Genomic DNA, 12,079 nt, shown 5'->3' on the forward strand with positions numbered 1-12,079 from the left:
AATAAGAGTATAAGGATGGAAAAATGCACCACATTAATATTAATCAAAAGAAAGCTGGAATAGCTTTATTAATATTAAAGTAGATTTTGGAGCAAAACATTACAAAGGATAAAAAGATCATTTCATAAGAAGAGGCTCAAGGAGGGCCTAACAGCCTGGAACATTTACACGCCTAAAAACACAGCCTCAAACTATACAAAATAAAAACTGATAGCACTGTTTAGAAAAATGGCCCGGTCCACAATCACAGGCAGAGCTTTCAATATCCCTTGCTCAATGACAAACAGAAAGAACAAATGGCTGGGCATGGTGGTTCACGCCTGTAATCCCAGCACTGTGGGAGGCCGAGGTGGGTGGATCACCTGAGGTCAGGAGTTCGAGATCAGCCTGGCCAACATGTTGAAACCCTGTCTCTACTAAAATACAAAAATTAGCTGGGTGTCGTGGCTCACCTGTAATCCTAGGTACTTGGGAGGCTGAGGCATGAGAATTGCTTAAACCCAGGAGACAGAAGTTGCAGTGAGCTGAGATTGCACCACTGCACTCCAGCCTGGGTGACAGAGTGAGACTCCATCTCATTTAAAAAAAAAAAAAAAAAAAAAGAACAAGTGGACATAAGTTACACACTCATGCTCAGAAAGTTCCTTCCATTCCAAGTAAGCTCTCCCACAGAATGCCGGTGAACACATCTATGCCTGTACCACTCAACATGCCTTTTTGGGGCAATGATCACTGAAAACCATGAATAAGTCTCATCATTGCTAATGTCATGACTGACAAATGCTTCCCCACAGAGAATATGGCCACTGCTCTGAGATGGAAATTTGAGTTCTAATTCTTTCTGGTCCACTAAAAATTCTTACAACTCAGCCAAATCTCAACTTTCCTTGACCTTAGTTATATTATTATACTTACATGATGAGGGGGCTGGGCAAGGTTACTTCTAAAATCCTTTGCCATGGTCTGAATGTTTGTGTCTCTCCCACCCCCAATTCATATGTTGAAACCTAAGCCACAGTGTGATGCTATTTGAGGGTGAAAGCTTTGGGAGACAATTAGGCATGAGGGCAGAGCCTTCAAGATTGACATTAGTACCCTTATAAAAGAGGGCCCAGAGAGCTCTCTTGCCCATTCCACCATATGAGGATACAGCAAAATACAAACAAAAACAAAAATAAAATAAATAAAAGATAAACAAAATTTAAGTTCTATGAACCAGGAAGCAAACTTTCACCAGACAACCAAGTATGCTGATGTCTTGATCTTGGACTTCTCAGCCTCTGCAACTGTGAGAAATAAACTTCTGTTGCTGATAAGGTACCCAGTCTATGGTATTCTGTTACAGCAGCCTGAAGGGACTGGAAGACATCCTTCCAGCTTTTGTGTTCGAACTTGAACTATGCCATCAATTGTCACCACCTCAGGAATATTAAATCAAGTCAGGGCTTGCAATGTGAGTCCCTGGGAGTCCTGTCTGGCTGCTCTGTGGGGAAGTGTGAGTACCTGCTGTGTAGAGATGACCTTGTGGAGGTAGCTGCCCTGTGACCCTTTGACCTTCAAGATGGAATGGACAGGGGTTGAACCTCTGAATAACAGTGCTCAAGGCATTTCTCCTCATTCTTTTTGTATGGCTTCCAGTTCCCAGTGCCCCACCCTTACTGTCTGTGCTGTGACCTGAAGTGTGAACTCGGCTGCAGCGAGACCTACCCGAGGAGGAACAGCCTGCAGAGCGGTGATGTAGTTCTCCAGGGCCAGGCGGCGGCGGTCATTGAGCATGGCTTCCACTCTGGCCATGTGTGTCTCCACCAGCTGCTGTCTCTCGTTGGCTGCTTCCTGTTCCAAAGATTCCACTTTCTCCTGGAAATGCTGCCATCATAAACACATATGTCCATGGGGACTGAATAAGTAGGATGAAGCAGCAATTTCAAGTCTTCTAAAAAAGACATCCTATTCCATTTTCTTCTAGTGCTAAAAAGTATCCTAAAGACTGCATAGTCATTCCAACATTGACTAATTCTACGTTTTATAGCTTACTTCACTTTCTTGCACTCTCCAACCCTCATCAAACCTACTTTCTCATTGAAAATCAGTATTTCATAGGCTCTCTGAAGGCTGATTTGACTAATAACTTTGGATAAATATATGCACTCTTGAAACTCTTATATTACATATTAAAAAAAAATCCCTCTCTTACTAACAGTACCTCAAGTAATTGACCATAATAAACTGTTGGTTTACTTAAGGTAATTTTGAGACTGGTTTCCATCAAAAATTCAAATTCTCATAATTTTTGCTGGAGGGAGAAGCAGCAGAAGATTGTGGTGACTGAAAAGATGTATTATTAATAAAAAGTAGATTGCAAGTTACAATGTGAGTTTTATGGCAATGAATTATAACTTGAAATAATTGGGAGCAAATATAAGGCAGGATTTAAACAACTCAATTACTAGACAATGATTAAGAACAGCTGAAGTTCATGGGACTATGAACAATCACACGTGAGGTGCTGGCAGATAAAGGTAAACCTGCAGACACTCATTAAAAAGACTGCTGGCATGTGATGTTTGGTAGGAAATGGGTTCAGGTTTTACCTGGATAACTGCCTTCTTATCAGCTTTAGGCAAGTTCTTTGCTTGACGTTCTGCCTCTTCCCATTCTCTCATGACCTATAAATTAAGGAAACATTTGAATTTAAAATCATCAGTTCATCCTTTGAATACAGACTTAATAGGATGGATGATTATGTTTTTCCTCTATTTTTGTCATTTTAGATATTTAAAAAATTTATTACATACCCCTTCCTATCTGAAGAATATTTGACCTCCCACTAGGATATAAATAATTAATCACAGCAGTATATTAAACATAAATGTTCATATTTATTGCAGGAATATAGCTTTTTGAGTCAAGGTTGGTCTTTTTTTACCCCGAGAACTGACAGTCATTTGATTTGATGTGAACAAATACCAACTATTCATGGAAGGCACACATTAACTGAACAAGGTCTTCCAATATTAAACTGAACACCTAAGTTTTACTCTCTTATGAAAGCAACTGAAACCATTTTAAACTGTATATTTTGACTTTAAAGAAAATATGACATTTTATGTGTGTGTGTGTCATGAATACAATGCCAAAAAGCAGTACATAATGGGGGAAGAAAAAGAAGACTTCTGCTGTCTAATATCCTAAGACCTATCCCCCTTTAAAGAACTGATGGGGAATTAAGGCCCTTTGAGCTTGCCAACCTAAGTCATGAACAGCAAGGATTACGCTAAGTCCTTCCAAAAACTCCAAGAAAACATGTAATATTCTGAATGCAGCAAACATGTATTTTTTTACAAGTAGCACTAATTTAGTAACCAACTGCTATGGTTTGAATGTAACCCCTAAAAAGCATGTGTTGGAAACTTAATCCCCAGTGCAACAATGTTGAGGGGTAAGTCCTGTAAGAGGTGATTCAGTCTCTGTCCTCATGAGTAAATTAGTATCATTATGGGGGGAGTGGGTTTGTTATTGTGAGAAGTGGGTTGTTATAAAACTCAGTTTTGCCCTCCTCTTGCCCTTCTTCCTTCCACCATATATGATACAGCAAGGAAGTCCTCAACAGATGCCAGCACCATGTTCTTGGACTTCCCCACCTGCAAAACTGAGAGCCGAATTTTAAACTTCTTTTTCTTTACAGATTATCCAGGCTGGGGTATTCTATTATAGCAACACAAACTGACTAAGATATCAGGTGAATGTGTTTTGTAGGAAATCAATGCTTCCTGCTCTCAACTTTGATGTTCACCTGGATTTCCCTGAGAGAAGTTCACTCATTAACCTGATACAAAAAGTAAAAGTCTGCACCTCTGTATGTTGTTCAAAGAAAATATTAACTTCCTACCACCTACAGCTGCCTTTTCAAGTGTATGACAAGTAGAATTTGTTTGAAGTGCAACTCTGAACTAGGTAAAATGAAGAAAGATCAAGGAAACAAAATATTGGTTTGGTGCCAGATGTGTACTTGCATACTCTGTGTACTCCCAAAGCATGAGAAAACTTGATTACTGTATTATAAGAGCCTGTTTTTTGTAGGTACTTAGCCTTAAGGAATAGACTCTTCTAACATACTTCAAGATGGGAAAGAAAAAGAGGCTTGGAATAAATAACTATAGATAGAAGACTTCTATGAGACAATACTATATCAAATCACCATGTGGGTTCCTAATTACAGATTTTATTGTCCATTGGCATTCATTCTTTGTATATGATAGGCAATTAGCTTCTTCTTGTTGTTTTTGTAAAACCATGGAGGAAACAAGATGGAATAAATATTTCATTACACTTGAAAAGCATATCAAAAATAATCTCAAGGTTCACAGCAAAATTGGGACAAATGCCCTGCTGCAATGAACAAGAATAGAACATGGAAGAAAAGAAACATATTGTCCCATCTGCTTTGGTGCTTCTACCAAGTTAATAAAGGGAACCTGTGGGCAAGGGGGAAATGGAAGACCATCTTTGCTTTATAGATGAGATAAGCCTTGCAATATAAATATTTCAATTTCCTGCTTTGGGAATGTTCACAGTGGTGGTACTCTACCAACAATTCTTCAAGCAAGGAATCTCAAAATTAGTTTGAGATAGAAGTTCAATGTTCTACTGCAATGTGAGAACTGATTTCCCATATTACATTTACATTTTTTCCATTTTACCTCATACACTTTAAGAAACTGGACTTTAAGCTTTAAGCTGGGGGAATCCATGAAATAATTAAAGAGATTTATTTAGCTAATGAGTTGCAAATAAGCATTACTATAGAAATTAACTCACATTTTGATTTTCAGAACAATTTAACAATATCCTATACCCCCACAAATAAACAAATCACCTGCACCATCCCACTAAGACTCTACTGCAAATGAATACACACTATATGTAGGCTGACCATCTCCCTGTGAACAGTGAATTTCACTGTGGGACTGATAACAAGTAGCATTACTGCTGACCCTGTATTAAGAGCTTTACAAAATCTATCTAATTTAATTGATTCCTCACAACAGCTTGTGAGATTAGCCAGGGCCATCCCATTTTACGAACCAGGTTAAGGTACCAGCTCGAGGCTATGCAGGTAAAAAAGGGAGAGGGAAGAATATAAACCAAGATCTCTGTGGCTCTAAAGATCATGTTTTTGTACCCTGTGGTACCCAATTTTTTATTATAAAATAAAAAATTCATTAGGTGAGCTAAGTTTATTTATATTTAGTGACAGGAGAAAGGGGCGCTCTTAAAATGTTGCTGCTTATCTTAAAAATAAAAACCTAGGCCAGGCACAGTGGCTCATGCCTATAATCCCAGCACTTTGGGAGGCCCAGGCGGGTGGATCACAAGGTCAGGAGATCGAGACCATCCTGGCCAACATGGTGAAACCCTGTCTCTACTAAAAATACAAAAATTAGCTCGGCGTGGTGGCACGTGCCTGTAATCCCAGTTACTGGGGAGGCTGAGGCAGGAGAATCGCTTGAACCAGGGAGTTGGAGGTTGCAGTGAGTCTAGATTGTGCCACTGCACTCCAGCTGGGTGACAGAGCAAGACTCCATCTCCAAAAAAGAAAAGAAATAAAAACCTATGAGTTGGGTCAGCTTTCAATTTGAAGGACTTCATTTTAAGCATATACTAAAAGTAGTAAGTTTATAAGTAATAAAAGTGCTCACACATGGTTCAGCTGTAGATTTCTATTTGACTAGATGCTAGTCACGACATATAGCAACAAAAATCTACAGGTTTAGCAACAAAAATCTACAGGTTTAGAGTTATACTCCACAATGGCAACAACAAACCAAAATATGAAAAAATTCCAAAATCCTCTGTATTTGTAAGAAAACATATAACAAAAACTACAATAAAACTTAATTTAAAAAACCGCACAATTTTTAAAATTTAAAATTCTCAGGACCTGGCCCTTGCAGTGGCTCTATGGATTCTTATAAAGCAATTTTCCACTGCAGGCACAAAGGTATCAATTTCATTTGGATTTATCAATCTTCAAAGACTTGGCTGTTTCATGCAGAGAAAATGACTACTACTAAGTAGAGATTTAAGAGGCAGGCAAGTTTAAAGTTGAAAAGTCCCTAGATTTCAGCACCACAGACTATGAAGATACATATTGATTTCAGGTGTCTCACATTCCTATGACCACTGGAATCTAGTAGACAACATTCTCTGCTCTGGGACAACATCTCTTAGGTTATATCAGATATATCTGATGACTAAAAGATGAACAAAATCTACAAAATCATGAACTAAGTCACAAGTTACACAGATGTGCTAAAAGTTAAATTATTATTTTAAAGAAGACCTGTCACATCTAAAACTAACAGAGAATTTGAAATAAGTTTTCTTAATAAGGTCAAAAATGAACAAGATATACTAGGAGAAAAAATCCAGGATTAAAAAAACACACATTAAAAAAAATGCTACAGTGGGTCCACGATGAATGCAGGTAGCAGGCTTCATGACTTGAGGTCTCAAGGTTTCTATCCAGCTTGGAAAGATAATGCAGGTGTGTCCAGAAATCACTAACAAAACCGGGGAGCAAATATTTAGAATTAAATGAAAGGTAAGAGCAATGACTGCCTGTCTCATTCTGAGTATGAAGTGGGGTGTAAGGAATGGGTGAGATGTGTCAGCGTGAAGAAGAGTGGGAGGGCATTTCCAGAAGAACTCAATGCCAAGGGCAAAGGGAAGCCCAAGATGAGATGAACAGACGATGAGCAGAGTGGCCTGATCAGAACAGCAGCTTAACGCTGTACAGAAAGCAAGGGTAGCAGTTGAGAAGGAAGAGGTGGTAGGAAGACCAGAGTCAGGGTACAGTGGTAGGCGCTGAAAATGACAAGCTGAGCATTCGGTGTTTATTTTTGTCATTGTTCTTTTTTTACGACTTCATGTGCCCAGAAGTGGATTTGTGAGGGCACAGGAAGCCTCTGAAAGCTTCATAAAGAAGGGAGATAGGATGTAAATTCAAATGAGGACATTTCAGTGGCAATAAGTATGATTCATAGTCCTCCAATGCTTTCCGAACAGTGCCTGTGTCTTTCCTAAGGAAAGATCTGATTTTCTTGGCATCAGGTGAAAACTTAATAATTCCCTGTGGCTAGCTTTCTAGTTCAATTAGCTGTTAGGTTTTCATCGTGGGCAGCCACTAGAACTGCACATTATATTCCAGAGCCAAAAGTACTGTGATTATAAGGCTTTTTTCCTCTTTATGTTATTATACCAAAGTAGATCCAAGTATTGTTATTCATCTTAAGGCAAAACAAACAAACAAAAAACAAAACAAACAAACAAAAAACAGTACCTGTGTTGTACCTTTCTAGATAAACTATTAGTTTTATGTTTTCAAGGGTAGATTTTCTTATTATTCAGGTGAGGCCAAGAGGTCAGGAGATGATTATCATGGAAAAGACAGTTTGTTACTCAGCTCCCAAGAAGCCGGTACATGCCACTACATGCAGGGTCATATGGGAAGCACCAGGGTTGGTCAGGAGGGGAAAACATGAGCAAGAGCCTTTTATTGTGGTTTTCATGGAAAGAATGAGCGAAGCAGGGTAGGCGGGTTTAGGACTGATTAGTTCAAATAATGGTGATGGGGCATGAGGTTGTCCCTAGTGGTCTGGTACCTGGTCCTGGGGTGATTAGAGCAGGTGAATAGTGGCCCAGAGTATAAGAAGGTGGTTGGGAGTAAGGAGCTTTTGATTGACTGGTTTGCATGGGAAAGACATGCTCAGGGGCCATTCATTTGGCCCTGGGAGGGAGGAATCTTCCTGGGGTCAGCAGGGACCCAGATCAGAAATTACAGGAAAGATTAATTGTCTACTAAAGACTGACTGTGATCTTAGAAAATACGCAGCAGTCTAATTCATAAATTGCATTTAATGTCTCTCAAGAGATTAAGCATCTGTGCTAAGACAAAAATTTCTCCTATCTTCTGATATTTGCCACAGAATATTAACACTAAAAATGAATGGCTTACTTTAACCTGAGATCTTTATTCATTCACTTTTATGTCCTACTTCTTTTCCCCCCACATTCACTCCTAGGTTTGTAGACTACAAATCAGAAAAGTGACTGGAAAATAATAAGTCCATATTTGTTGATTGAATGAATGAATGAATGAGGAATCTGAGCAAGGGCTAAAATCCTCCATATTATCAAACTCCAATACAACATCCAGTGCCTGGTAGCAGACATAGCTTCAATTGTAGTTGATAGTATATATGGATTAGCCATGTTTTAGACATAAGTTATTTTTTAATTTGCTTAATTAAGGACCTGCTAAAAAAAAACAAACCAAACCAAAACAGGTTTTTTTTTTTTTTTTTTTTTTCAGCAAAGTATAATGAAAGGAGTACTGTACTAGGAGCAAGAAAGGCCTGGATTCTAAATGTTGTCTCTGGCTCACTGATTTTGCTTTGTGCTAAAATGGGAAGCCACTCTCTCGAACCTCTATTCCACTATGTATCACTTAGGAGACTAGATGAAATAATCACTATGGTTCAGCTCAGTTTTAAGTCTCTATGATTTTACAGACTGTAAACAATCGTAGGTTCACAATTATAACAGTCTGGGATTTAATACAAAACCTCATCTTTACTAAAGAGCATTTTGATGGATTTTAATTTACAACATGTTGATTACAGGTACTACATATACACAGAATAATAATGCCAAGTACCTTTCTTCGCCAGAGAGAATGTTACAGACATCATTTAATTTGTGCTTACAAAATCCAACTATACCTGGATCCTTCCTAGGCAGCATGTTCACGGAGGATGCAAAAAACCCACAAACTGTGCCCACACAGTAAACATTTAAAATTAGAACTTTACATCTTTAAAGATCTTGATAAAGCCAGCAGGCCTGTGGGGAGACTGAGGCAGAGGCAAGCTCAGGTTTCCCAATATCGTAGGGCTGAATGATGGAAGAGCCAGACTTACCTGGGACATTCTCTCTCGGTGCTTGGCCTCAAGCCTCTCTTTGGCTTTCTGGAAATGGGCATGTTCATTCTCATCCCCAGGTGTCTCGAGATACTTGTCAACGGCATCAGGGGTACTGGCTGCTGTTGTAGGAACTATAAAGTAGAAGAGAAGGAGGTTTGAGAAAAAAAAGCCAACAACAACAGAATAATCCACTCGTTTAATAGAAAGCCGTATTTTCAGTTATTTCTCAGAACAGAGAATTTAGTAAAGCAGCGCATACAAGACGTTAATGCTGTTTAAGAGAACACCATGAGACACTGTGCAGCACAGTAAGGATGTCTTTCACCACTCCCAAGTACAGAATGAAGGAAAAATCTTTAAAATGGTCCATTTTGCAATTATAGCATTAGAGTTCTTTACGAAACAAGCATGCAAAGAGCAAAAACAGTTGGTGCTGAAGACATGTTTTTCCAAATCCCCATGCTTTCCTAAATTACTATTTTGCAATTTTGAAAGTAAATGATGATATCATCAATATCATACACTAAGACTCCTGCAGAAACCACAGATATCTGTAATTAGCCTGTTGTAGAATAACGGCACCCCAGGGAAAAGGTAAATGTATGATGTATTTAGATAACTGAATTACGAAGACAACCTTCATGAGACAGTATGGAAACACGACAAAAGATATATAAACATCAATAAACACATTTTTGAATCACAAAAGGACTTTTCTGTCTTCATAAATTTGACAATAGTCAATGAATTCATTATGCTAGTTGTCAAAAAGAAAGTGATTTCTATTTTGAATTCAACTAATACTGCTAAGCAATATTTGAATTGCAACATATACTGCTATATTATGTAACTCATGAGCCAAGTGAATTATAATACCTATACAAGCAATTTTCCAAAAGATTAGTGAGAATTCAGAGTATTTATGAGCTTAAAAGCAAAAAGAAAAAAGAATTTTGACTTAAGAGGAAGCATATTTAACATAAAAAACAAAATGAGACGTTTTCACTATCTTTTGAGATCAAATCAATTGTTTCATTCAAAAGGTTATTCAAATATCACCAATGTTCCAAGTATTCCTATTGAATTATTACCTGTGTATTACATTTGGGATATAATATCTCAAAGAGGACTTCAATGAGAAGAATTGATAGCTAAGTCATTTTGAAACTAAACTTGAAGTTAAATACGTTTTCTACATCCTTCAAGAAAATGTCTGGAATCTTAATCCAAAGTCTTCAAAGATATTAACTAAAACCGGAAGGCTGTTAAATAATTAAACAGTATCTTTCATTTTAAAAAGAAACATTCGTTTTGATTTTTTCCCTCCACTTCAATCCTGATTAATAATCATTTTTCAAAAAATAAAAGCAGTTGAGTGTCTATCCAGATGTTGCTTTCAAGTGGAAGGAAGGAGGCAGGGCATATTCCTGGTGCCTTTACACAGCTGCCCCTGTCTTCTCTGTAGCAAATGAGGGAGTGGTGTTCCTTCTTACATTGGCAGCAACGGGGGAAGGAAGGAAGGAAGGAAAGAGTCATGTGGGGATTTGCAATTAAGCACATTTGGATTTGAATCCCATTTCTTTTTCAGATCAGCTGTGACCTGGGGCAGGAAACTTAAGCACTCCATGTTTCAATTTTTTTATCAAGTGGTGATAACATGCCGCAGGACATGATAGGAGAGCTGGGAAAATGAGATACCATACCACATGTAAGTCATCCGGCAGAGAGGGTGACACACAGTGGAGCTCATACATGTTAGTGGCCTTCCCTCCTCCTCTGCTTAATACATCCTGTTCAAATCTCAGAGCTAATGCTAACCACGGGAAAGTTCTGATACTTTTATTCAAAGCCACTGAAAATGTTTTGGTAGAAGAGTGCAATAATAAAGAAAAAAAAGAAAAGGACAAGTTTTAAAATTTTAAAAATTGAGAAAAAGAAACAAAAGAAAATACAAACTAACAAAAAATAAATAAAATAGAACCACTGAAAATGAATTACACACAGGATCACAAAGTGCAACCTACAGGAAAAGCAGTATGTATTTTTCAAAAAATGTTAGGTGTAGCCCACATAAAAAAGGCCGAAAGTATCAAAAATAAGTAAATTGTTAATTTGTAAGATTGAAACAATAATTTTGAATATTAAGACCTTTTTGGAAAAAAGGTAAATGTTTTTCTCCATAGCTTCAAGCAAACCAATATGCAAGTATTTTTAACTTAATCATTAAGTTAAAATGAATAAATGCTAAATACCACGTTCTTACTGACTTTAACTTAATGATTAAGTTAAAAATACTTGCATTTCAAGTTCCCAACTTGAAATGAACATGGTATTTAGCATTTAAAATGTGCTTCCCTAGCTTTAGTCATCTTCTCATCTTAACTGGTAGAGCTCAAATGAGAACAAGTTAAAGTAAAAGCAGAAAATAAAACAGTAACATTCTTTTGCATAGTCCAATCTGGCAGAATGACATGTTTAGGCAAACCATATTTTATGTTTGAAACAAATGAAAATGTATAAATATTTGGGGTTATACCTGCTGATGAAGATAGTCATCTGGCTGTAACTGTTATAACCATAACATAAGCACCCCTTTGGAAAACTGGAATCATAAAACTTACTATATAAGAAGGAAATTTTTTCAGCTCCTATGGTTTGCGAACACTGTCTACTGTATAAAGGAAAGAAGATAAACACTATAATCTGAATCACTATAATCAGATTGGCCTAAGTAGAAATGCACTTAGCAACATAATAAGAGAATAACCATGGAACATGAATGTGAGGTATGTTTAATAGGACTGAGGATATTAAAAAGGATAAAAACCTTCTTTTTAGGCACGTGGAAATGAATATGAATACTATATTACCAACTTAATCCATTGAATCCAGAAATATTTCTGTGGTAATTAATTTTCTGTGCCAACTTGATTGGGCCGCAAGGTGCCCAGATTAAACATTGTTTCTGAGTGTCTTTGTGAGGGTGCTTCTGGATGAGATTAGCATCGGAATTGGTGCACTCAGTAAAGTAAATCACCCTCCTCAACATGGGCAGGAATCACCCGATCTGCTGAGGGTCTGAAAACAAAAGGGCA

At 37.6% G+C, this 12,079-nt stretch overlaps 1 protein-coding gene across 11 annotated transcripts in view; it reads right to left on the bottom strand.

Annotated features, from left to right (window-relative positions):
- Positions 1-12,079, bottom strand: part of APP (amyloid beta precursor protein) — a 290,579-nt gene that overhangs the window by 92,813 nt on the left and 185,687 nt on the right. For all 11 annotated transcript variants that reach the window (NM_001136131.3, NM_001136129.3, NM_001136130.3 and 8 more), the window contains 3 exons: positions 8,982-9,115; positions 2,592-2,666; positions 1,708-1,866 (listed from right to left, as the gene is read on the bottom strand). In NM_001136131.3, coding sequence (NP_001129603.1) covers positions 1,708-1,866; positions 2,592-2,666; positions 8,982-9,115 — 368 coding nt within the window. The remainder of the gene's footprint in view (positions 1-1,707; positions 1,867-2,591; positions 2,667-8,981; positions 9,116-12,079) is intronic.

This window comes from Homo sapiens, chromosome 21 (assembly GCF_000001405.40).
Source record: "Homo sapiens chromosome 21, GRCh38.p14 Primary Assembly".
NCBI classification, from domain to species: Eukaryota; Metazoa; Chordata; class Mammalia; order Primates; family Hominidae; genus Homo; species Homo sapiens.